Genomic DNA, 27049 nt, shown 5'->3' with positions numbered 1-27049 from the left:
CTCCCTTGTCCATTCATACTACTGGTAAATATGTTATAATATTTTATAATTTTTTTGAAGTTCCTCTCTTTTTAAATTGGCACATAGTTTACATATTTATGAGGTACATGTGTATTTGTTACATGCATAGAATGTGTAATGATCAAGTCAGGGTACTTGGGGTATTCATCACCTTGAGTATTTATCATTTATGTTGGGAACATTTAAAGTCCTCTCTTGTAGCTACTTTGAAATATATATGATTCAAATTAATTATTAACTGTACTCTGCTCTGCGACATTAGAACTTGTATTGTCTATCTAACTGGATATCTGTATTCATTAAGCAACCTCCCTTTATCCCACCTTCCCCCACACACATACTTCCTGGCCTTTGATATCATTTTATTCTCTACCTCCATGAGATCAACTTTTTTTAAGCTCCCACATGAGTACATGTGATATTTGTCTTTTTGTGCCTGGCTTATTTCACTTATTGTAATGATCTCCATCTTTATCCATATTGCTACAAATGACATGATTTCATTCTTTCTCATAGCTGAATAGTATTTCACCATGTATATATACCACATTTAAAAAAAACAGTTCAGGCCAGGGGTGGTGGCTGATGCCTGTAATCCCAGTACTTTGGGAGGCCGAGGTGGGCGGATCACGAGGCCAGGAGGTTGAGACTGTCCTGGCTAAAACGGTGAAACCCTGTCTCTACTAAAAATACAAAAAAAAAAAAAATTAGCTGGGCGTGGTGGTGGGTGCCTGTAGTCCCAGCTACTCAGGAGGCTGAGGCAGGAGAATGGTGTGAACCTGGGAGGCAGAGCTTGCAGTGAGCTGAGATCGCGCCACTGCACTCCAGCCTGGGCTACAGAGCGAGACTCCGTCTCAAAAAAAAAAAAAAGAAAAAGTTAATCCATTAATGGACACTTATGTCGATTCTGTATCTTTGCTATTGTGAATAGTGCTGCAATAACCTGAGTCCAGGTATCCCTTTGACATGCTGATATCTTTTCCTTTGAATAAATACCCCATTGTGGGATTACTAGATTGTATACTAGTTCTATTTTTAGTTTTTTGAGAAATCTTCGTGCTGTTTTTCATAGTAGCTGTACTAATTTACATTCCTACCAGCAGCATATAAGAGTTCCCTTTTTCTCCACATCCTTGCCAGCATCTGTTGTTATTTTTTTATAGTAGCCATTCTAATTGGGATAAGATGATATGTTGCTGTGGTTTTGATTTGCATTTCCCTGGTAATTAATGATGTTGAGAATTTTTTCATATACCCATTGGTCGTTTGTATGTATTCTTTTGAGAAATGTTTGTGGCCTTTACCCACTTTTTAATGAGGCTTTTTTTTTTTTACCGTTAAGTTTTGATTTTCTTGTATATTCTAGGTATTAGTCCCTTGTCAGGTGAATGGTTTGCAAATATTTTCTCCCATTCAGTGGGTTTTTTCTTCACTCTGTTGATTGTTTCCTTTGCTGTGTTGAAGCTTTTTAGTTTAATATAGTCCCACTTGTCTATTTTTGTTCTTGTTTTCTGTGCTTTTGAAGTGTTAGCCATACTATTTTTGCTGAGACCAATGTCCTGAAGTGTTTTCCCTATGTTTTCTTCTAGTAATTTTATAGTCTTGGGTCTTACGTTTGTATCTTTGATCCATCTTGAGTTGATTTTTGTATATGTGAGAGGTAGGGATCCAATTTAATTTTTCTGCATATGGATATTCAGTTTTCCCAGCACCATTTATTGAAGGGGACATTCTTTCCCAAATGTATGTCCTTAGTGCCTTTGTCAAAATTAGATGGCTATTTGTGGATTTCTTTCTGGGTGTAATAATGTTTCCTTTGTATATCTGGGTGCTCTTGTGTTGGGTGCATATATGTTTAGAATTGTTATCCTCTTGCTGAATTGATCCTCTTACTATTATATCATGACCTTTGTCTCTTTTTACTGTTTTTGACTTAAAGCCTGTTTTAACAGATATATGTATAGCTACTCCTACTCCTGCTCCCTTTTAGTTTCTGTTTGCATAGAATGTCTTTTTCCATCCCTTTACTTTCAGTCTATGTGTTGTTATAGGTGAAATGAATTTCGCTGTTTTTGGAATTCTCTTTTTGTCTTTGATTGTTGACAGTTTGACTATAACGTGCTTTGTGGAAGACCTTTCTGCACTGTATTTGGGAATCTCTGAGCCTCTTGTATCTGGATGTTTAAATCCCTTGCTAGACTTCGGAAGTTTTTATCTGTTATTTCATTAAGTAGGTTTTCTATGCATTTTATTTTCTCTTTGCCTTATGAGACTCTGAAAATGAGAATATTTAGTTGCCTTGTGGTGCCCATATGTCACAAAGGCTTTGCTCACTGTTTTTTATTCTTTACCTTTTGTCTGATTGGGTTATTTGAAAGACCTATCTTCAGGTTCTGAGATTCTTTCTTCTGCTTGATCTAGTCTGTTGTTGAAGCTTTCAAATGTATTTTGTATTTCACTCAGTGAAGTCTTCAGTTCCAGAATTTGATTCTTTTTTTTTAATGATACCTATCTTTTTCATAAATTTCTCATTCATATTCTAGGAATTGTTTTTCTGATTTCTTTATGTTATTTTTCAGTATTCTCTTGTATCTCACTGAGCTTCTTTAAAATCAATATTTTAAATTCTTTTTCCAGAATTTTGTGAATTTATTTTTGATTGGGATTTGTTGCTGGAGAATTATTATGTTCCTTTGGAGGTATGATATTTTCTTGCTGTGATGTTAGTAGCTGGGTGGGTGAGCCCAATCTCAGGTTCCTGGGAAGAGTCCTTAGTTGCCAATGGTGGCTGAGTTGTGTGATCTCCAGGCCTCTGGATTGTGTGCTCTGGCATGGGGGGTGGGTGAGGCCAGGTGGGCTTGTCTTTAGACTCCCCAGTGGTGCGTATAGGTGCTGGCTGTGTTAGGAAGGGGTGGGGTGATCCTTAGGCCCCCAGCACAATGTTCATGTTGTGAGAGGCAGTGTCTGTGCTGCAGCCCTACTGCTGGGGAGGGCAGAGTTGCTTTCAGTGATACCAGCTATATGCAGGCAAGTATTAGGAACATGCATTTCACTTGCATTTTAGCCCTGGTGGTGGCAGACCATACTTGGCTTGTGTTTCAGTCCTGGTGGTGCAGCCTGTGTTTCACTCACATTTTAGTCCTGGTGGTGGCAGCTCATGCTTGGCTTGTGCTTTAGCCTGGGCAGTGGAAGCTCATGCTTTGCTTATTCCTTAGTCCTGGTAGCACAGTGATGGCAGCTGTGGGTGAGGGACTCTGGGCACATGAAAATGAGTGGTGGCTCCACTGCTGGAAGCAGTGGCTGAGATTGGAGCCAGAGGCGTGCACTTTGGCCCCAGCATCAGGAACCAGGCATGGTGGTAGCTGTGGGCTGGGTATGTCAGTGGGACTCCAGGGATGTGAAGAGACAGGTGCTGTTAAGCCCAAGCACAAGGTGCAGTCTGTTGGGACTGAGTTCTCAAAATGGTGTCTTACTATAGCTGCAGGACTGGGATGGGGAGTGGAGAGGTTGGTGTGCCCCAGCGTGAGCTCCCTCTCTGGAGCAATGCTGTTGTGCACTCTTCATGCAGTTCCCTTTGTTAGTTTCAGGGCCTGTGAGGGTCCAGGGCCTCTACTGTGGCTAGGATTGCAAGTATCCATGGTGGGAATGTGGACCCCTGGGCATCTCTCATTTACCCTTTCCCCTGACTGGGAATTCTCTCCAGGCTCTTAGCTAATCTCGGATAAGCAGGCTGCCTCACTTCTCTCTCTTTCCTTGATTTAGGTGTTTCCTGTCACCTCTTTGTTGAATTCCTTAATGTTTTACAATTTAAAAACTTCCTGAATTTATGACTTTGTATAGGTAATATGTGCACATGGTAAAAAAATTTTAAGTCCAGAAAGTTTAAATAGTCCATTTTCTCTCATCCTTATTCAGTCAGCAATTGTTGGTTAACAAGTATATTCCACTGACCATCATAAACTCCTTGAGGACAAGGATTTTCTTTTATTTATTTCTGTATTCCTGTATCCAACAAAGTGTCTAGCATATTAAAGGTACTTAGAAAATATCCATGGAGTACTCTGAATATGGGCAGGCTCTTCTTTCCTCATGAGAAGTGTGCTTGACTTGATGGTCTGTATATTTTTTATATCTCTCAAAACCCTTTTACTGTAAGTAGACCATTCAGTAAATGTGGTATAGCAGTCACTTAATAAATATTGGTTGTTTAATCAGTTTTTTAAAGTATATGGTTTTAACATTAACCTGTGTGTCTTGAGGATGGCTTTTATTTATCTCCTTTTTCTGGCTGTGAAAAATTTTATACTTGCTTTGTGACAGATTCAAAATAATGAAGAGAATGTTTGTGTTAACTGCAGTAAAATATCAGTTAAACTCAGTTTTAAGTATCAATTTCTCTTTAACTTTTCAGATTACGGCATAAATCTCATAGAAGTAAAATTAAATCAGGATTTATTTAAAAAACAATTTTCAGGATATGCTGTTGCATCAGTAGATAATCTTTATTGTGTATTAGCAGCCATATTATGGGTAGCCTTTTCTATTTCAGAAGAAAGGTGGGACTGTGAGCAAAGAAGAATATACAACTCACACAGAGGTGCTAAGTGCTCATAAATCTTCTGGAAAGTCCCCATGTTATTGTAACAGACCTTACATTAAGAAATGTTAAAATGAATTTGGACAAGAATCATCTTTGCCTTTCAGATCACAACTTTCAGAGACTTTGGTAATTTACACTAAGCATTTGAGGTTGAGTCATTACTATGTCCTACTTTCTAGATTCTTTTGTGTGAATTAAGCTGTGCAGAGGCAGACAGTACAATCGTAAAAATAGAATAACATTTTAATTTAGAGTGCTTGGTGGTTGATTGCTAACCACTTGAATACATATCTTCTTCCTTTTCTCATTCCTTGCTCTCCCTTGTTTCTTTCTAAATCACAATTACAGAGCCTGGCACCTTACCAGGGCTTTGAAGGGTCTGCTCCCAGCTGCACTTCAGGTTCTGGCAGGGCGTCAAGTTGTGACTTTTTTTTTGTACGCAAGACATCCTGGATGGCTATCCAAAGGCTGTTTGGGTGACTAGTGCAGGATTATCTCTGGATTTTGAAGAAATTCATTTCTAATGTTTTGTTTATAAGTAAAGTAAATGCCTGGTGTAGGTCCTCCCTAGACTTTTAATGTTGTTTTTTAAAAAACATCATTCACTTTGAGGGCATGTAGTATTTAAAACATTGTTTTGAAATATTCAAAGGCATAGCATGTGCTTTTAATGGAATGTGTTTTGGAAGCTTTCCATGAGCATCAGCAGCTGTGCTTTTTTGAATATTTTGAATTACCATACTTTGGGGCAGACATTGTACTACTCACTGCTTAAAAAATACAGTGCCTATGCAAAATAAAATGTCATATGGAGGTCTGTAAAGCTGGGACTAGTCAAAAGAAGTGGTAGGAAGGACACGTGGATGTGATTATGTATTTGTAATGGTTGCAAAGAGAAGATGAAGAATTTGGAAAAAGGTTGTACTAGTCTTTTAAAAACTGCCTTTCACTGAGACTAGCCCAACAAGTGCTCACTGATTAACAGGCCAATCGAGATAATGTTTCACTTTTTTTCACTTATTGCTGTTTGAACTCTGTACTTTACTTTAAAAAATTTTCAATATGAATTTCTGTATTTAGTAAACTGCACAGTAGGAGACGTTTTATTGTGTATTTCAAGCATCTAATGTATGTGTAAGTGTCTTGCAGATAATTGATAGCTGTGTATTGACTGATTGAAATCAAAGAAGTCTAACCATGGTAGGAATTTAAAATTGTGTTAGAAATTTTGAGTTTGATAAACCTTTTTATAAGTAAATATAAATACAAGAGAAAGCCATTGTATTAGTTACTTGTGGCTGCTGTTACAAATTACCATATAATAGGTGTCTCAAAACAACAAAAAAATTATTCTTTCAACATTTTAGAGATTAGAAGTCAGAAATCAAGTTGTTGGCCAAGCCACGTTCCCTCTGAAGGCTCTGGGTTAGAATCTTTTCCTTGCCTTTTCCAGCTTTTTGTGGCTGTAGGTTTTCCTTGGCTTATGGCTACATCTTTCCAGTCTCTGTCTCCGTGGTCACATTGCCTCTTCCTCTTCAGTCTCAAACTCCCTCTCCTTCTCTCTTAGAAGGATACATGTGATTGTTTTGGATACATAATCCAGCATAAGCCTCTCCTCTTAAGATCCTTAATTTAATCACCCCACCCTTTTTTTAAAAGTATATAAGGTAATATTCATAGCATCCAGAGATTAGGAAATGACATATTTTGAGGGCTAGCATTCAGCCCACTATTGTTTGGAAGACTGTTTCTGAATTTGGAGGAGAAAAGTGAATCGAGGCTAAAGTAGCATTAGAATGGTGAGCACATTATTTGTTCATTTGTTATTTTTGAGCTCTTAATATGTGCCTGTGGTTTTTTAGGTGTTGGGATTATGAACATGAGTAAGACATGTTTCTTGTCATGGACAAAGTTACATTCCATGTGTTGTATATACTAAAATGCAAGATAAAACACAGAATAATGAACTATTTGGGAGGGTCTTTACTTCATGGAGGAAGTAATGCATTCCTGAGCTGGGTTTTGAAGGCTGAATAGGAATTCACTAGATCAGAATACAAAGAGATGGAAAAAGCCTTCTGAGCAAGGAAATTAGCATTTACAAAGCCATGGCGGTAGAAAACAGCAGTATGTGCTCAGGAAGCTAAATGGTAATTAGTGCAATGAGACAAATTTTAGATTTGTTTTCATTTCTTTTTTTTTTTTTTGAGACGGAGTTTCGCTCTGTCACCCAGGCTGGAGTGCAGTGGTGTGATCTTGGCTCACTGCAAGCTCCACCTCCCAGGTTCACACCATTCTCCTGCCTCAGCCTCCCGAGTAGCTGGGACTACAGGCGCCTGTCACCACGCCCAGCTAATTTTTTTTGTATTTTTAGTAGAGATGGGGTTTCACTGTGTTAGCCAGGATGGTCTCAAGCTCCTGACCTCGTGATCCGCCCACCTTGGCCTCCCAAAGTGCTGGGATTACAGGCGTGAGCCACCGCACTGGCCTGTTTTCATTTCTTATATACACATTAGCTATTAAAATCTCCCATTTTGCCAGCTACAGCATAAATATTCTTTGCTGTGATGGTTCTTAAAGCAAAAATCTTTTCATAGATTAAGACGGTCTGTGAACAGCCATTAAATACATGAAAAAGTGCTTCAGGAAAACGTAAATTAAAATCATAAGGAGATACCACTTTATGCCTCCTAGAAGGGCTACAATTAAAGGGACTCACAACATCACATTATTACCCACACGACAGATGGGTTTGGTTGCTTGGCAGGTATCATCAACTCAGTGCTCACAACCAAAGAGGATTTAGCATGAGGATTTTATTACTTGCAACAAGTAAGGAGAACATGGGGATAGTTCCTAAAGCAGGGGCCTGAGTCAGGTTTTATAAGTGTAGGATAACAAGGCATGATCTGATTGGATCTTGCAATGAGGTGGTACTGGAGGCATGATCTGACAGGATCCCTCCATGGGATGATGCCAGAGCTTGATCTGATTGGATCCTGGATCCTGCCATGCAATGTCTGCTTCTTAATTCAGTCCCCATTTCTTGGTCCAAGCACTTAGGTTCCTCCTGAGATTGCAGTCTTGGCTCATCTGAGCATGCTCAGGTTATGTGAGCTGAGGGTCCATGGCAGCTGAAAAATAACTCACAATTTATTACATAAAAGTTGAACCAGAGGCAGCCCCCCTTCATCTCTCTCCTCCTGCTCCTTTTCTCCTCCTTTCTCCTCCCCCTCCCTTTTTTCCTCCCTCCCTCTCCCCCTTTCCCTCGATCCCCTCCTCCCTCCCTCCCCGTCTTTCTTACCCCCTCCCTTTCTCTCTCTCTCTCTCTCTCACTCGTTCCCTAACATTAAAGAGAAAATGCTGCTATCCGTGACTTCCAGGCCCGGGATTTCTACTTTTGGCTACAATAGAAACAACAAGAAGCCATATGTGTCATTGGCTCAGCAGATGGCACCACCTAGCCCAAGCAACAGTACACCTAACAGCAGTAGTGGAAGCAATGGAAATGACCAGCTGAGCAAAACCAACCTATACATCCGAGGATTGCAACCAGGCACTACTGACCAAGATCTTGTCAAGCTGTGTCAGCCATATGGCAAGATTGTTTCCACTAAGGCCGTACTGGACAAGACCACAAACAAATGTAAAGGCTATGGCTTTGTAGATTTTGACAGCCCTTCAGCAGCACAGAAAGCTGTAACAGCACTGAAGGCCAGTGGTGTACAGGCACAGATGGTAAAGCAACAGGAACAGGACCCCACAAATTTATACATCTCAAACCTCCCACTGTCAATGGATGAGCAGGAACTGGAGGGGATGCTGAAGCCCTTTGGCCAGGTTATCTCCACCCGTATCCTTCGAGATACCAGTGGGACCAGCAGAGGTGTTGGCTTTGCAAGGATGGAGTCCACAGAGAAGTGTGAAGCCATCATCACCCACTTTAATGGAAAATATATTAAGACACCCCCTGGAGTACCAGCCCCATCCGATCCCTTGCTTTGCAAATTTGCTGATGGCGGGCCAAAGAAACGACAGAACCAAGGAATATTTGTGCAAAATGGACGGGCTTGGCCAAGGAATGGAGACATGGGCATCATGGCCTTGACCTATGACCCCACCACAGCTCTTCAGAATGGGTTTTACCCAGCCCCTTATAACATCACCCCCAACAGGATGCTTGCTCGGTCTGCACTCTCCCCATACCTTTCCTCTCCTGTGTCTTCGTATCAGAGAGTGACTCAGACATCTCCTCTACAAGTACCTAACCCATCCTGGATGCACCACCATTCATACCTCATGCAGCCTTCAGGTTCAGTTCTGACACCAGGGATGGACCATCCCATTTCTCTCCAGCCTGCCTCCATGATGGGACCCCTTACCCAGCAACTGGGCCATCTCTGCCTCAGCAGCACAGGCATGTATATGCTGACGGCTGCAGCTATGCAAGGAGCTTACATCTCCCAGTACACCCCTGTGCCTTCCTTCCAGTGTTTCAGTCGAGGAGAGCAGCGGCCAACAGAACCAAGTGGCAGTGGACACACCCTCAGAGCATGGGGTCTATTCTTTCCAGTTCAACAAGTAACAGTGGGATTCCCCTCCCCATCTTTACTGAGTAGAAATGAATTCTTGGAGATACTCATGCTCCCAAATTCCAGAGGGTTAACCAGGAATGGAGACCATCCGTCGGCCCTGCTAAGGACTAACACTTAGCCATCGTTTTTCACAGGCCTGGGCCTGGAAAAAGAAATCTCTATGTTCCTGCCCTTTACTGTTGCTGATGGAGCCTGGGGGAGCCATCACTTTTTTTGTGTGCTACATTCAAGGAGATCAAAAAAACTTTTTTTCTTTTGCAAAAAAAAAAAAAAAAAGTTGAACCAGATTGGTCTGGTGCAGCTACAAGGTATTGGGAAAAATGTGGCGCAAACAGAATTCTCAATATGTTGGCTGGACATGGTGGCTCACACCTGTAATCCCAGTACTTTGGGAGGCTGAGATGGGCGGATCACTTGATGTCGGGAATTCAAGACCAGCCTGACCAACATGGAGAAACCCCATCTCTACTAAAAATACAAAATCAGCCGGGTGTGCTGGCACATGCCTGTAATCCCAGCTACTTGGGAGGTGGAGGCAGGAGAATCACTTGAACCTAGGAGGCAGAGGCTGTGATGAACTGAGATTGCGCCATTGCACTCCAGCCTGGGCAACAAGAGTGAAACTCCATCTCAGAAAAAAAAAAAAATTCTCATATGTTTTTGGTTGGAATAGAAAATGGTACAACCACGTTGGAAAAAGATTTGGCAGTTTCTTACACAAAGTTAAATATAAACCTGCTCCATGACCCAGCAATTCCACTCTTAAATGTTTACCACCACCCACCCCCAAACTGAAAATGTGTCCACAGAAAGTCTTGTACAAGAATATTCATAGCAGCTATATTCATTGTAACCAGAAACAACCAAATGCGCATCAGCAGGAGAATGGATAAACAATATGTGTTATATTTAAATGATGAAATGCTATTTAGCCTTAAAAAGGAACAGACTACTGAGATACACAAAAACATAGGTGAATCTCACAGCTATTTGGGTGAAACAAGGCAAATACATGAGAGTACGTACTGTATGATTTCACTTTAATATGTTCTGGATCAGGTGGAGCTATGGTGAGAATAACCACAAAAGTGGTTGCCTCTTGTGGGTGGGGTGATGGGGAAGGAGTATGAAGGAACTTTCTGGAGTGATGGGACTGTTTTATATCTTGATGAAATTGAGGCTTTCTTGAATTCTTCCTTTTGTGAACTCATGAAATTGTGTGCATTCATGTGCTGCATATAACCACATACACAACAGTGGTACCATAAGATTATAATGGAGCTAAAAAATTTCTATTGCCTAGTGATTTGTGTTACAGTTGCTGTTGGAAATGGGTATTCAGTGTCGCGGAAATCAACACTATGATAAAGGATCTCCCAGCAAGGCTAATTTACTTTCTGCAGAAAGGGTGCCACTCACTAGCAGTCTTGCCATGAGAGCACATACAAACAAAGGAGACAGGGTCATTTATAATCTAATGCGTCCATGCTATGGCTGTGTCCAGTTTCCATTGGCTGGAACGGGACTTCACATTCTGTTCTTGTCCTGATTGGCTAGCAACTTAGAACCTCCCAAAAGAGGTAAAGGTAGGGGAGAACAAAGGAAAGGAGGAAGTAACTTGTGGAATGCTGAGAAAGGCCAAAACACCTCCAAATAAGGAAGAGAAACAGGCTATAACCTAATGCTTGCTTGGGCCTATATAGGCATGCCAGGGCAAATATCTAGGCCAAAAGGTGGGGGCTAAGCACACAAAGCATATTGGTTTCTTTATTATGGCTAGCAGATATTTAAGAATATTACCACAGGTCTTTGAGTAAATTTTGCTTCTAAGAGAGGCTACTATTTATTCTCAATTAGACTGGAAGGAAAGTCCCTTTGAAGAGGAACCTCTACTTCATTTTGTACAGTTGCCTCCAATATTTAGTACAGTAACATGTTGTACAGGTTTGTAGCCTACAAGCAATAGGCTATATACCATATATCTTAGGTGTATAATAGGCGATATCATCTAGGTTTGTGTAAGTACCGTACATTCTTTGATGTTCACACAACAATGAAATTACTTAACAATGAGTTTATCAGAGCATATCCTTGTTAAGTGATGCATGGAGATAATATTTGTGCATTTCATTATGTGTAAATTTTACTTAAAGGACTATAAACAAGCACATGAATAAAGGAGAAATAGTAGAATAAATTTTTAAAAAATGAATATTACATATCCATGTGGTAGCCTCACAACCATGAGGAGAATTAAGCCAACAGGATTTGTTGGAAGAAAAATGAAAAGGACTACAGTCCTTGACATGATGCTGAGCCCAATTTTTGAATTACTCTCCCTTCTAAGTCCCTTTTTAAAAAATTGTGAATTATAAGGTTGGTTGCAGTGGCTCATTCCTGTAATCCTAACATTTTAGCAGGTCAAGGTGGGAGGATGGCTTGAGTGTGGGAGTTCAAGCCAAGCCTGGGCAACATAGTGGGACCTTGTCTCTACAAAATAAAAATAAAAATTAAAATAAATAAAAAAAATTTAAAAAGCCAGGCCTAATGACATGTGCCTGTAGTACCAGCTACTTGGGAGACTGAGGTGACTTGAGCTTGGGAGATTGATGGTGCAGTAAGCTGTGATCATGCCATTGCACTCCAGCGTGGATGACAGAATGAGAATGTCTCAAAAAAAATTATGAATTATAATATACATATAGAAAAGTACACAACAATGTACAGCTGAGTGATTTACAAAGCAAGTTACAAAGCAAACCTCCATATATCCACAAAAATCAAGAAGTAGAACGTTACTAGCCTCATCAAGTAATATTTTCCTGACTTTAATGATAATATAGTTCCTTTCTTTATACATGCTTATACCTAAGCATGTATCCCCTATATACTATAGTGCTTGTATTTAATTTTTAAACTTTATATATTTGTAATAATCTATTTGTAATAATTTAGTGTATATTCTTTTATGTTTGGCTTCTTCTGGACAATATGTCTGTAATATTCACCCTATATATATAGAGTATCTATAGCAGGGGTGTCCAGTCTTTCGGCTTCCCTGGGCCACACTGGAAGAAGAATTATCTTGGGCCACACATAAAATACACTAACAGTAACGAAAGCTGATGAACTAAAAAACAAAACAAAACAAAAAAAACCATGCAAAACAAACTCTCATAAGGTTTTAAGAAAGTTTATGAATTTGTATTGGGCTGCGTTCAAAGCCATCATAGGCTGTATGTGGCCCATGGGCTACAGGTTGGACAAACTTGATCTATAGCTTATTTTTATTGCAGTATAGTGCTAGTTCCATTATACCACTATTCGTTTCTTCAACTGTTGATGGTCATTGGATTTGTTTCTAGGTTTCAGTTGTTAGGAATAATACTGCTATGAACAGTATCATATAAATCTTTTTGTGGACCTGTGTATACCACATTTCAAGTGGATATATGCCCAGGAGAGGAATTACTGAGTCATAGTATATGTATTTTTTTTTAACCTTAGTAGATAATGCTAGTTTTTTTCCCAAAGTGAATATGCCAGTTTACACTACAACCTTTGCTTCCTCTCCTCTCCAGACTTATCGTCAGTCTTTTTGGTTTTCTCATTGAGATTTAAATATTATGAATAATTTTTACAAATTAGTAATTGAAAAGACAATTCAATAGAAAAAATTGGGCAAAAGATGCAAATGGATATTTTATAAAAGAAGATATCTAAATGGCCAGTAAACAAAGAAAAGGTGCTCGGTCTCATTATTTATCTGGGAATCACCTTTTAGATTTTAGACGTGCTATTTTTCCTGCCTTGAGTTACTGAATATTTTTTCCTATATTGTGGCAACTTTGTGCTTCTGCTTTTCACATTTAGATCTTCAGTCCAACTAGAATTAATTTTAGTGTGTAATAAAAAGAAAGGCGCAAGTTTCTTTTTTTCTACAAGGTTATCTAGTTGTCCCAGTGGCCTTTATTGAAGACTCTCTTCTCCTTACGGTTCAGCAAAACCACCTTTGTTCTAAATTATCTTATATGGGTAGGTCAGTTTATGGGCTGTGTCCTGTTTTATTGGTCTCTTTGTCTATAATTAAGCCAATGGCATACTATACCATCTTAATTACTGTATATTTGTAGTAAGTACTGATATATAGTAAAGTCTTCTCATTTTTTTCTTTAAAATCATTTCCACTGTTGTTGGCCTGTCTTTTGTATTTCCACATAAATTTTTGAATCAGCATGTTAAGTTTCTCACACATAGAGACACACTCATTTGGATATTAATTGATATCACATCATCTGTAGATTGGGGAGAATTTGTCTCTTTAGAATGTTTTCTAATCCATACACCTAGTCCATATCTCTATTAGGTCTTTTTTAGTTTGTTTCAGTAGCTAGCCACAGTTTTCCTATAATAAATAGTTTGCACATCTTTTTACCTAGGTTTTTGATATTTTTTATATTATTAAGAATGTCTTTAAACATACATTGTTGTTAAAGAATATCACTATTGAAAAAAATAAAAAATATTTTGTTGCTGGCATATGGAATGCAATTAATTTTTGTATATTGCTCTATCTGCCAATCTTGCTAACTTGCTTTTTCTAATTATTTTTCTGTAAATTTGTTTAGATTTTCTACATACACAATCAGAACATGTGTATATAAAGATTTTTTTTTTTTAGTTTTTATACCTTCTATTCCTTTGTTTTGTTCTAGTTCTTCAATACAATATTGAATAAAAGTAGCAATAATGGACTTTCTTGTTTTGATCACACTCTCAGAAAAAGATGTTTTAAGATTTTAAAGTCAGGTGTGGTGTTTTAAAATACTCTTTTTATATACACCTTTGATGAGATTGATGCACTTTTAAGTTTCTAGTTTGCTAGGTTTATTTTTCTCTTTTTTTATTGAGGTGAAATTAATATAGCATAACATTAACTATTTTAAAGTATATAATTTAGTGGCATTTATTACATTCACAGCATTGCGTAACAACTACCATTATCTAGTTCCAAAACATTTTACCACATCAAAGAAAACCTTGTAACCATTAAGCAGTCAACTCCCATTTCCCCATTCCCTTAGTCCCTGGAAATCATCAGCCTACCTTCTATGTATTTATCTATTCTGGATATTTCATATAAATGGAATCATACACCAAGCACAGGAATGGTAGGTATTTTTTGTTAGTTCTGACAGTCCCTGAGCTGCTTATTTATTTTGTATGTCTATTTTCTGTCTATTGTTCAGCCGAGTAATTTCTGTAGTTGTATCTTCCCAGTGCATTAATTCTTTTCCTCTTCCTCTCTATTTCTGCTGATGAGCTCATCTAATATTTTTATTTTGGTCATTGTATTTTTTTCTTTTCTTTTTAAAGACAGAGTCTCAGTCTGTCACCCAGGCTGGAGTGCAGTGACACAATCTTGGCTCACTGCAGCCTCTGCCTCCCAGATTCAAGCAGTTCTCCTGCCTCAGCCTCCTGAGTAGCTGGACTACAGGCGCATGCCACATCACCTGGCTAATTTTTGTGTTTTTAGTAGAGACAGGGTTTCACCATGTTGGCCAGGCTGATCTCGAACTCCTGGCCTCAAGTAACCCACCTGCCTCAGCCTCCCAAAGTGCTAGGATTACAGGCATGAGCCACCAGGCTTAGCCGTATTTTTCAGTTTTAAAATTTCCACTTGGTTCTTCTTTTTACCTTCTTTTCTGAGACTTGTATTTCTTTGCTGTGACCCTCTTTTCATTTATTTCAAGCTTGTTTGTCATTGTTTGTTTAAGCATTTTTATCATCAGTGCTTTAAAGTCTTTGTCAGATAACCATAACATTCCTGTCATCATAGTGTTGGCTTGTTATCTTTTTTCATTCAGTTTGAAATCTTCATTCTTGATATGATCAGTGGATTTCTTTTTTTAATGTATGTATGTATGTATGTATGTATGTATTTTTGAGATGGAGTCTTCCTCTGTTGCCCAGGCGGGAGTGCTGTGGTGTGATCACAGCTCACTGCAACCCCTGCCTCCTGGGTTCAAGCGTTCTCCTGCCTCAGCCTCCTGAGTAGCTGAGATGACAGACGTGCACCACCACACCCTGCTAATTTTTGTATTTTTAGTAGAGATGGGGTTTTGCCATGTTGGCCAGGCTGGTCTCGAACTCCTGACCTCAGGTGATCCACCTGCCTCGGCCTCCCAAAGTGCTGGGATTACAGGTGTAAGCCACTGTGCCTGGCCGACCAGTGGTTCTCTATCGAAACTTGGACATTTGGGATATTATAATATTGTGGATTCTATCTAAACTTTTTGTTTTAGCTGGCTTTTTCTGACACTTTTCTGGTAGAGGAAAGAGGGCATACTACCTTGTTTTTGCCAGGTGGAGATGGAAGTACAAGGTTTTTTTGTTTGTGTTTTTGTTTTTTTTTAAGAGGTGGGAATCTTGCTTTGTTGCCTGGGCTAGAGTGTGGTGGCATAATCATAGCTCACTGCAGCCTTGAACTGGGCTTAAGCAATCCTCCTACCTTAGCCTCCCAAGTACCTGGGCATATAGGCACATGCCACCATGCCTAGCTAATGACTTTTTTTTGTTTGTTTTTGAGACAAGGTCTCACTGTGTTGCCCAGGCTGGTCTCGAACTCCTGGTCTCAACCAATCCTCCCACCTCACTTTCTGAGTGGCTGGGATTTGCAGTCACAAGCCATAGTGCCTAGCAAGTCGAGGTTTCTAAGATGGCCTCTGTTGACACCTTAGTTTTTTTTGGGAGGGGGGTTGCGGGAGGGGTCTTTGTTATTGCCAGGTAGCTGTAGTTCTGGCTCCCCATGTGATCTTCCCTGATACCCTGGAGAGGGTAGCCTCATTACTGTTGGTGGTTCTGCCTGTCATAAGTCTCCACTAGGCCTTCTGTGCCAGCATTTCAGTGGGGTGAGGGAGGTCCTCTTTGTTACTCTTGGTGGGGGGTGAAAGTTTAGGTTTTCCATGTGGTCTCCTCTGACATTGCAGGATCATTGAGCTTTATTACGGTTCAGGAAGCAATGGAAGTTTCTGTTTTCTGGTGAGCCTTCTTGTGCACCATCTTGGCCCAGTATTAGGGTATTTTATTACAGCCTAGCTTGGCTTCCACCTAATCTTTGCTTGTGTGGATGGGGGTGGAACTACAGTTTTTTTTTTTTTGTGTGTGTGTGTGTGTGTGTGTATGGTATTTGGATAGAGTAGATTGTAATTGTCTACATATTATCTTGCTAGGCTCCCTCTTTTTTGTTCCTTTGGCTAGAGAGTAGGCTTTTTTGTTCAAGACTTATTTGTCTGAATTAATTGGTGTTTCCTGGTTGCCAGTTTCTTCAGCTCTGTGTCTGAGATATATGAAAAAGAAAACCCAGGGAAATAAACTCACCACTGTATTTGTCCTTACATTCTCAGGTCCATAGCTAGTCAGCCTTCTAGTCTCCATTATTCAGAGTCTTACGTTTGTCATATACCTAAATCCAGGACTCTTAGTTATATTAATGAGTATAAAAGGAAAATGTATATCTGTTCCATCTTCCTCAAAGTAGAAACCTTTATTCCATAAGTTTTAAAATGGAGTATCAATTTTCATTTAGTACTACATATTTTCTAATTTCTATTTTGACCTTTTCTTTGATTCATAAGTTATTTAGAAATGTATTTCTTACTTTGTAAGCATATGTGGCTTTTCTGATTATTTTTTGTATTGAGTTTAGTTTAATAGCATTGTGGTCAGAGAAGGTATCTTGTATGATCTTGGTCTTTTAAAATGTTTGAAATTTTTTTTAAATACCTGGCATGTGGTCAACATTTATAAATGTTATGTGTATACTTGTGAGGAGTGTGTATTCTGTAGTTACAGGGTATAGTCTTCCATATGTCAGTTAGGTCAGCATGGTTAATTGTGTTGTTTAAATTATCTGTGTTCTTACTGATTATTTTTTTAAATCTTCTTGTCCCATTAGTTACCAAGAATAGTGGTGAAATTCTCCTCCTATCATTGTGAATTTGTCTATTTCTCCTTATAGTTTTGACAACTTCTGCCTTACTATTTAGTGGCCATAGTAAGTGCATGTAAATTTAAAATTGTCACATCTTTCTGGTGTATTTAACCTTTATCATTATTAATTTCTCTCTCCATTTTAAATAGTGGGGGTTTTTTGCCTTTTAAAATCTACTTTTATTATTTTTTCATTGAGAGCAATCAATAAGAAAATCTTGTTTTAAAAGAGAAGATCAAATTTTAGTGTTGTATCAGTGTACTTTTGATATGAGGACTCAATTTTAAGACAAACCTATAAACAATTTACTTTTCATTTTAGCCAATTTGTTCACAAATAAAATTTCTTTCATAAGATTCATCTCTCACAAACCTTTCATAATTTGCCCAGACCTTCTACAGCTTGCTCAGTCCTTTAGTTTTGTCTTATATTTCTCTTGTTTATACTGAAACAATCATTTTACCTTAGGACAAAAATTTACTTCCCTTTTTTTCTATCATTTCAACCACATAAGTTTTTTTATACAAAAATTACTGTCATTCTCTTTTCTTACCAAAAATACATTCTCATAGTTTTTTGTGTCTGTTTTTCACTTGTTCCTTTCTGCCTTGTTTTCATGTTTTTCCAAATTCATATTTTGAAATAATCTTTCAATAACTTCTGAATTAGACAAATTACTTTTTAAATAAAAACACATTTTTATGCCATTTAAAACACTTTTTTCACCAAAAACAAATTTTGTTTTTTTCTTGTACCCTTTGCATACAGAATTCTATGTATTAACTAGAATTTTAACTCTTAGCAATCTTAATTTTTAGTTAAATCTTAGTAATCTTAACTTTTAGTGAAAACCTAGGAAGTAAGCAATTTTGAGCTGTCACATATCAACATTTTATAAAGACACATTTTATAATCTTTAAAAATGTATTTTTTCCACAGAATAATTTTTAATGTGGAACCAAACATATTTATTAACCCCCAAATATTTTTTCTTCCTGTAAAGCTTTAGAAGTCAAGAGTAAATCTAAACTTACATTTAGGAATTAGTGTTTCCTTATTTTAACTTATTTGGATTGCTACTGCAATAAAACAAGTCACAAGAATTTTCTGGTTTCTCAGTGCATGGAAAAGTTATGTTTACAGTATACTGTAGTCTGTTAAGTTTACAATATAATTATGTCTTTAAAATGTAGATACCTTAATTGGAAAGTACTTTGTTGCTAAAAAATGCTATTGATCACCTGAGCCTTCAGTGAGTAATCATCTATTAGCAGGTGAAGGGTCTGGCCTTTCTGCTGATGGCTGCTAACTATTTAGATGGTTGCTGAAGGTTGGGATGGCTGTAGCAGTTTCTTAAAATGAGACAACAGTGAAGTTTGCCACATCAGTTGACTCTTCCTTTCATGAAAGATTTCTTTGGAGCATGAGATTCTATTTGATAGCATTTTACCCACAGTAGAGTAAAAATTGAATGCCAGTTTTATGATGCAATTCATTAATTCCTTGGCAAATGTGTACTTTTGGCAGGATAATTTTGTGGTAGCTGCTACAGATAGCGCATTCTGTATTTACAAAGATTGAATCCCAGTGCGTGTTAAATCTAAGAGTAAGGAGTATAGTGTTCTTGAGGGACTTTTCCCTCTGTATTAAAATATAATTTCAGAGGAAACCAAAACAACTGCAATTATAGTTTAAAGATTGTCTTAAGTAATACGTAGATATCACACTAATTTATCAGAGATGGTATAATTCAAGCAAGGCTGAATAATTTAATGGTCGGTTTGCATAGGACAAAGATTTTTTTTTGTTATAAGAAGTGATTTGTAATAACCCATGGCTAAGGAAGATTCTATCAGGAAAAAAATATGTATGTATGTGTGTGTGTGTGTGTGTGTGTGTGTGTGTGTGTGTGTGTATGTATTATGGGACTAGAGAAAGAAATTAAAGGAGACAACTATTTTAATTAAAATTTTTGTTCTTAGTTATAAGAACACTTTGAAACATCATTTTTTATTTCTAGATGAAATAAACAGTGACGTTTGTAATACTGAGTCAGTGCTTTTGGAGATAGGTGAGATTTAGTTTTCTTAACACAGTGTATAACACATAGGAGTTGATCAATATTTATGTGTTGACAAATTTCTCATGTGAATCTGTAGTCTGGGTGCAGCTTGCCTTGTGTCAAGTAAAAGACCCTTCAAAGCATTAATCATAGGCATAGTTACTTGCTGAAGGTCACCTTTTGAAGACCTTGATTCTCCCTAGCCAGTTACCAAGTTCCAAATAGCTTTTCCTCTGATTTGGGAGTATGGATTTTATACCAGGATCTATACTTGAAGCTTACTGTGGTAGCTTCAGGAAACATGACTCTGGTTTGTGAATTTAAGACTACCTAAACTGGGAAAGTCTGCTTCTAGTGGAGCTAGGTTAATACTTGAAGATGTGATTTTGATGGTCATAGAAGCATAGAAGCTGCATGGAGGTAAAGAAAATTGTTCAAGGTGTGATTCAGCTTTATATTTGCATTTTGTTTTATGAACAAATTAAAATCTGAGAATTGGGCTTTGTAATAAAAATGATAAGGAGAGGCTGAGCGTGGTGGCTCACGCCTGTAATCCCAGCACTTTGGGAGGCCGAGGCAGGCAGAATGCCTGATGTCAGGAGTTCGAGACCAGCTTAGCCAGCATGGTGAAACCCTGTCTCTACTAAAAATACAAAAAATTAGCCGAGCGTGGTGGCGGGCTCCTGTAGTCCCAGCTACTCGGGAGGCTGAGGCAGGAGAATGGCGTGAACCCGGGAGGCGGAGGTTGCAGTGAGTCGAGATAGCGCCACTGTACTCCAGCCTGGGCGAACGAGCGAGACTCCGTCTCAAAAAAAAAAAAAAATTAGCCGGGTATGGTGGCAGGCGCCTGTAATCCCAGCTATTCAGGAAGCTGAGGCAGGAGAATTGCTTGAACTTGGGAGTGGAGGTTGCAGTGAGCCGAGATCACACCATTGCACTCTAGCCTGGGCAACAGAGCAGACTCCTCTCAAAAAAAAAAAAAAAAGAAAAAAAAAAGAATAATAAAAGTGATAAAAATATGTAACATTAAAGGAGGCTTACGTTTACTGATCGCAAATTATGTAATTATGTTTATTTCTCTGTGCAGGTATAATTTGGCTTCCTGAGATTCTGCCTTAGCAAGAAAGGAGTGGGAAATACCCTTGGAAAGAAAACTAAAACAGTAAGAAAGCCAAAACTTATTTTTACATGGTTGTCAGCACATTTACCGATATGGACACTTTTCCCAATAATTTTCCTCCTGGTGGAGACAGTGGATTGACAGGTTCTCAGTCGGAGTTCCAGAAAATGTTAATTGATGAAAGGTTACGATGTGAGCATCATAAAGCTAATTATCAGACACTGAAGGCTGAACACACAAGGTAAATTACTTAAATCTAGAAGTGGGGTTTGGTTTTAAAAAGTTATTGGCATTATCTTGGCTGAATGTTTGCTATAGAATATAGTATAATTTTGTTATTTTGCAATGTATACATTTAAAACTTTTTTAATATAGTAAAATTTTTACTTTAAAATTACTTTGTTCCAAACTAAGTATGATATCAAGTGGGTTATGAATTTATAAGCCTTATTTTGAAAGTAGCAGGACGTATAAGATTAAATGTATCCAGATGGCTAAATGTGTTCCCCATCTCCCACCAAAGTAAAATTGCATTCCAAAACTACAGTGTTAATAATTAAATGAAACTCTGTAAATAAAAGATACTTGTGGGTTTAAAGGAATGTGTGATATTGGTCTTGTTTTTCTGTGGTGTTGATTGACTTTACATAAAGTAATGCAATTAGAAAGAAAGGATTTACTCAAAATTGAATTCTCTTTAAAAAAAACCAGGTTGCAGAATGAACATGTAAAGTTACAAAATGAACTCAAGCACCTGTTTAATGAAAAGCAAACTCAGCAGGAAAAACTTCAGCTCCTGCTTGAAGAACTAAGAGGAGAATTAGTAGAGAAAACTAAAGATTTAGAAGAAATGAAACTGCAGGTGAGAAAATATATTTGAGTTTTGAGTTAGTATAAAAGCAGTCAGATACGTAGTGGAAGTAAGTAGTTTTGGTGAATATGGCAATTTCTGTCTATATCCTTAATGATTACTTTGCTGTATCTCCAAGTGGTACAATTTAATCTTCTTTCATATATTTTAGAATGTTAGCTACCATGTAAGGGAGCCATGAAACTGTTATTTTATGTAAATTGGTATTATATTGCCTATTCTGATATAAATAATATTTAACCATTAAGAATAATTAGGGAAAAAGTGAGTTTGAATTGATAAAAATTCAGAATTAAAGAATTTTTTTAAAAGAGTTACTAGTATTTGTATATGCATTATAACTGAAAGCTAAAAAAGGACAGCTATTCTTAAAGAGCTTCTTAAAAGAGACTGTAAAAACAGTATGTGAACATAATTTATGTGTACATTGTAACACAAATGGGTTTGTAAAGCAAAAGATAGTTGTCTCCAAAGTGCTGAAGTACAGTTTCTTTAGATCATTTTCACGCTATTCATTTTTTCATTTGTCTGGAAAATTGAGCAAAGCCAGACTTTAAACTCCAGTCAAATTTCCTGTAAATTTCAGATTAGTAGGTTCTCACGAATAATATTTTCCCATATTTATTTAATCTCTGAAGAGCACCAGCTATTTATTTCTGCCTAACAATCTGATTGGTACAAATAATAAGGTATTATTAATATTAGAGTCAGAAGTTCATAGAGTAAGAAGGCATCTTTCAAGTCACCTAGTCTGGCATATCACCCAACTCTTAGATATCCTTTGACAGAAGCCTTGTAAGTTTGTCATTCAATAACTTTTTCAAATCTACCATTGCTGGGAACACCACTAAGCCTGGCTTGGAGCCTCCACTATGCTCACTGTTTCATTCCTAGGTATATTTAGGACATTTAAATATACAAATATAAACCTCAGAAATGTAAATCGAAGAGGGAAATGTAATTTAAGCCTGTAGAATCAATGCATTAATTTGTTTTGCAAAAATTTAGAGCCCTGTATGAGTGGAAGCTGTGAATGCTGAACCCAAGATATTTGAGAGATTCTTCAGGTATTGCAAATTTAATTATTCTGTTTCATGAGAGTGACATCTAAATGTGATTATTTGTACCAAGCACATCCAGAAAGTAAGTAAAGCACATCCAGAAGGCTGGAGTAGTTATATTAATTCAGATAAAAGAGACTTCCAGACAAAGAGTATCACTAAAGATAAAAAGGATGTTTATAATGAAAAAAAAGGGACAGTTCTTCCAGAAGATGATAACTTCAACAAGTAACTATGTCTCTATGCCTAGTTTTCTCATGTGGTAAAGCGGATAAAAGTTTCTGCTTAACAAGAGTTGTGAGGACTAATGAGATAACATCTACATTTTTACTGCCATACTTTCCACATAGTAAATATTCATAGATTATGACATGTTTATTTGAATTCAGGCTCCATGAAGGCAGGAACTTTTTTTCAGTGTGTCTTCAGTGTTTAGGATAATGCCTAGTAAACATCTATTTGTTGAATGAATGACGTGAAAAATTGAAATAAATGAATGAATTGGGATTGTTGTTCATATATTGCACTGTCTGTGTCAAACATACCTACAGCCTCAGCATCTTAGAGTTGGTAATCATCTAGTTTTTCTTTGAATCTATTATGGGTTGAGTTGTATCCCCAACCAGGATATGTTGAAGTCCTAACTCCTAGTACCTCAGAAGGTGACCTTATTTGGATGTAGGTTCATTACAGATGTAATTAGTTAAGCTGATGAGGTCATATTGGAGTATGATGAGCCTTTAACTCAATATTACTGGTGTCCTTAAAAAAAGAGGAGAAGAGAGATGGAGACAGATGGGGTAGAGAGGAGCACTATGTGATGGTGGAGGCAGAGATTTAAGTGCTCCAGAAGCTAGAAAGAGGCAAGGAAAGTTTCTTCCCTGCAGATTTTAGGGGGAGCAAGGCCTGTCAACACACCTTGATTTCAGACTAATAGCCTCCAAAACTGTGAAAGAACAAACTTCTGTTATTTAAAGCTGCGTCGTTTCTGGTATTTTATTATGGCAACCTAGGAAACGAATACACTGTCCAAAGCAGAATCCTTTTTAGAACATCTTTCAGACAGGACTCTCTTCATTTTCTGCTTCAGTGCTTTCAGTGCTAGAGAACCTGGTGAACTTTTTAAAGTGATCCAATTGTATTTATAGATTAAAGTATGTTAAACATTTTCTCTCTCCTATTAAAATGAAGTCATCTACCCTATAGCCTCCCTGTTGGTAACTTTGGATGTTCCTCCATGTGAAAACTTCCCAAATGTTTGCTCACAAATATAATTTATCTAGTAAGGCTTCTGTTTTTTAAGATAAACATATCTAGTAAGGCTTCTGTTTTTTAAGATAAACATATCTAGTTTCTGTGTGATATTTATTTGGCAAAAATAAGCTAAAGAAACATCATGTATACATATAAACACACATTTTGAAGCAATTTAGCTATTTGTTTAATGGATGCTTGCAATTTGCGCAAATTGTAAGTTTAGAAAAGTAAATTCAACAAAGATCAAGAAATATTTCAATGAAGGTTTATGAAAGATGATTATTTTTAAAATATACGTGCATTATCTAGTCTGCCTACAAAAATGCTTTTTCTAAGATTTAATGTCATCTCTTTGGCTTTTATAGGAAAAAGATATAAGAGATATTCATTTAAAGAACATTTCTGCATCAGTAGTGAATGGTAATGATAATAGTGCCTAGCTCATAGGATGACTGTAAGGATGAAATGAGACAGTGCATAGAAAGTGTTAGTTCAGGCTGAGCATGGTGGCTCCCACCTTGAGAACTTCAGGAGGCAGGAGGATCACTTGAGGCTAGGAGTTTGAAACCAGCCTGGGTAACGTAACTGGGTAACTCTGTCTCTAAAAAGTAAAGTAAAATAAGTTAGCCTGACATAGTGGCATGCACCTGTAGTCCCAGCTACTAGAGAGGCTGAGTCAGGAGACTTGTTTGAGCCTAGGAGTTTGAGGCTTCAGGGAGCCATGGTTACACCACCACACTTTACCCTGGGCAACAGCGCGAGACCCTGACTCAAAAAAAAGTATTAGTATGGTACTTTGATCTAGTAAGTGGTCAGTACATGTTGTTATTGTGTTACTATGTACCATGTTAGCAAAACCTTTTTAAATATGGGGATCATTTGATATATTCTAATAAAACGGAAATTACTTTACCAATGATTAATATACTCTTTTTGTGCTAATGAAAACTGTATAACCTAGTATACAGGTTCCCATTTTGTTTTGGCTGCTGGGAAGCTCAGATCAAAGTATAATACTCAGTTTCAGTCATTAATTTATTAAGAATTTTTGGCATAGCAGTATTTGCCGCCTTAAAGTATTCTTTGTAAAAGATTGGCCTATTTTAGATTATTAAATGGCAAGTACTGCAGTGTTAAAGATTTGTTTTTATAGATTTAAAATAGGTAATGACACCTAGACTGTTGTATGATAAAGCATTCTTATGTTTCTTTGGAGACAAGTAGTGGCAATATTCCATTAGAAGTCTAAGACACTGCTGGGTGCAGTGGCTCATGACTAATCCCAGATCTTTGGGAGGCCGAGTTGTGTGGATCACCTGAGGTCAGGAGTTCGAGACCAGCCTGGCCAACATGGTGAAACCCTGTCTCCATTGAAAATACAAATATTAGCTGGGTGTAGTGGTACATGCTTGTCTTCCCAGCTGCTCAGGAGGGTGAGGCATGAGAATTGTTTGAACCTGGAGGCGGAGGTTGCAGTGAGCCAAGATCGTGCCACTGCACCCCAGCCTGGGCGACAGAGCGAGACTCTTTCTCTCTCCAAAACAAACAAACAAACAAAAAGTAGCCTAAGAGAGAATATTTTTTCCTAAAATGGGATGGGAAAAATCCTCTAATTCAGTCGGTGTCTTGGTTTATGTGTGCTTTGGAGGTATAGGGGATAGGAGAGGGAGAGATGGGGAGAGACAGAGGAAGAGAGAATTTATTATGTGTGTATTTGTTTTTAATAAGATTCCTAGGAGGTAAGAAAAAGTTAGAGATGCTTTGTCAGAGACCTCAGATCAGAAGACCCCTAAACTGTTGTATGCTATTAGATTGCACAGGCCAGTGGTGAGGTGCACACCATTACAGGATTTAAAGCACTGTTGTTTCCAAGAGGCATCTGTGATGTAATTGAACATATAATGCTAGAAGCTGCATGGATATTGTGCAGCTACATCACTCTACAGGGTAGTGAGCACAGGTTATCTTTGTTCTTTGCAGTGCACTTTGTCTGGTTTTTTGGCTGCTGTTCTCTTTATTGCTGGTTTTAAGCAATTTGATTGACATACTTTGCAGTTTTTTTTATATCTGTAGTGCTTGGGGTTTATTGAGTTCCATAGGTCTATGGGTTTACAGTTTTTATCAAACTGAAAATTTTTGGAGATTACTTCTAAAAATATTTTCTTTCTCCTCTTTCACCTCCTTTGGAGACTCTTAATTACATTCTAATATTAGACCACTTAAAGTTCTGCCATAGCTTGCTGATGTTGTTTATTAATTTATTTTTAGTATTTTTTGTCTCTGTGCTTCATTTTGGTTAGTTTCTGTTGCCATGTTTTCAGATTGATTGATTTTTTCTTCTGCAGTATCTAACCTGCCATTAATTCCATGCAGTGTAATTTTCATCTCAGAAATTGTAGTTTTCGTCTCTGGAAGCTCAATTTTGTTTTTTTTTTTTTGTTTTGAGACAGAGTCTCTCTGTGTCGCCCAGGCTGGAGTGCAGTGGCGCGATCTTGGCTCACTGCAAGCTCCGCCTCCTGTGTTCATACCATTCTACTGCCTTAGCCTCCTGAGTAGCTGGGACTATAGGTGCCCGCCACCACGCCTGGTTAATTTTTAAATTTTTTATTGTTAGTAGACATGGGGTTTCACCATGTTAGCCAGGATGGTCTCAATCTCCTGAGCTCGTGATCTGCCTGCCTCGGCCTCCCAAAGTGCTGGGATTACAGGCGTGAGCCACCTTGCCCGGCCTTGGTCTTTTTATCTCTATCCAACATGTTCAGTCTTTTCTCTAGTTCTTTGAACATATGGAATTCAGTTACAATAACTGTACAATAAAGTTTTAATGACATCTGTGTCATTTCTGGGCCTGTTTTAAGTTTATCCCCCCTGCCCCCACCACACACACACACACTCACTCTCACTCTCTCTCTCTCTCTCATGCTTCTCTGCATGCCTGGTAAATTTTTATTGGATGTTAGATACTGTGAACTTTGTTTTTAAAATGCTGGATTTTTGTTGTTGTTGTTGTTGTTGTTGTTTTTGTTTTGTTTTGTTTTGTTTTTGAGACGGAGTTTTACTCTTGTTGCACAGGCTGGAGTGCAATGGAGTGATCTCAGCTCACTGCAATCTCCACCTCCCAATATTTTTATATTCTGATACATGTTCTTGAGCTTTATTTTGGGACACAGTTAAATTATTTGGAAACAGTTTTATCTTTCTGGGTCTTGCTTTTAAGATTTAAGTGGGAGCAGAGTAGTATTTAGTGTAGTGCTAATTATTTCCCACCACTGAGGCAAGACTCTTCTGAGTAGTATAACAATTTCTTTATGAAACAAAGGATTTTAATCTGTTTTTGGGGAACAGAAACTATTCTTAGGTCTTTGTGAGCTCTGCGTATTCATCCTTCTAATCCTTTCAGGTGTGTATTTGCCTAGCCTTAGGTAGTTTCCTTGCACACATGTGTTAATCAGTACTCTACTGAATGAGT

The 27049-nt window shown here is 37.9% G+C and overlaps 1 protein-coding gene and 1 pseudogene across 35 annotated transcripts in view, besides 2 other annotated features; both read left to right on the top strand.

The window, feature by feature from the left end:
- Positions 1-27049, top strand: part of CEP83 (centrosomal protein 83) — a 194793-nt gene that overhangs the window by 27505 nt on the left and 140239 nt on the right. For 22 of the 35 annotated variants that reach the window (XR_007063082.1, XR_007063081.1, XR_007063083.1 and 19 more), the window contains 2 exons: positions 20359-20632; positions 21103-21253. Coding sequence is in view for 22 of the 35 variants with exons in the window: in XM_047428923.1 (XP_047284879.1) it covers positions 20460-20632; positions 21103-21253 (324 nt within the window). In the remaining 13 variants the exon portion in view is untranslated. Of the gene's footprint in view, positions 1-20358; positions 20633-21102; positions 21254-22270; positions 22330-27049 lie in introns of all 35 variants that reach the window. The other 13 variants (NR_160431.1, NR_144441.2, NM_001346459.2 and 10 more) reach the window with 2 other exon arrangements.
- Positions 3207-3256: an enhancer, noted in NCBI's record as "active region_6783". NCBI's record gives its function as "activates an Ori minimal core promoter by ATAC-STARR-seq in GM12878 lymphoblastoid cells {active_cell/tissue: GM12878}" and the evidence as "EXISTENCE:reporter gene assay evidence [ECO:0000049][PMID:35858748]".
- Positions 6389-6953: an enhancer, noted in NCBI's record as "NANOG-H3K27ac hESC enhancer chr12:94819773-94820337 (GRCh37/hg19 assembly coordinates)". NCBI's record gives its function as "activates a minimal SCP1, AML or CMV promoter by ChIP-STARR-seq in primed H9 embryonic stem cells {active_cell/tissue: H9 hESC(primed)}" and the evidence as "EXISTENCE:reporter gene assay evidence [ECO:0000049][PMID:30033119]".
- On the top strand, positions 7800-9482 carry RBMS2P1 (RNA binding motif single stranded interacting protein 2 pseudogene 1; annotated as a pseudogene).

Source organism: Homo sapiens, chromosome 12 (genome assembly GCF_000001405.40).
Source record: "Homo sapiens chromosome 12, GRCh38.p14 Primary Assembly".
Classification (NCBI taxonomy): domain Eukaryota; kingdom Metazoa; phylum Chordata; class Mammalia; order Primates; family Hominidae; genus Homo; species Homo sapiens.
Note: the sequence above shows the minus strand (reverse complement) of the source record. Positions and strands in the feature narration are given on the sequence as shown.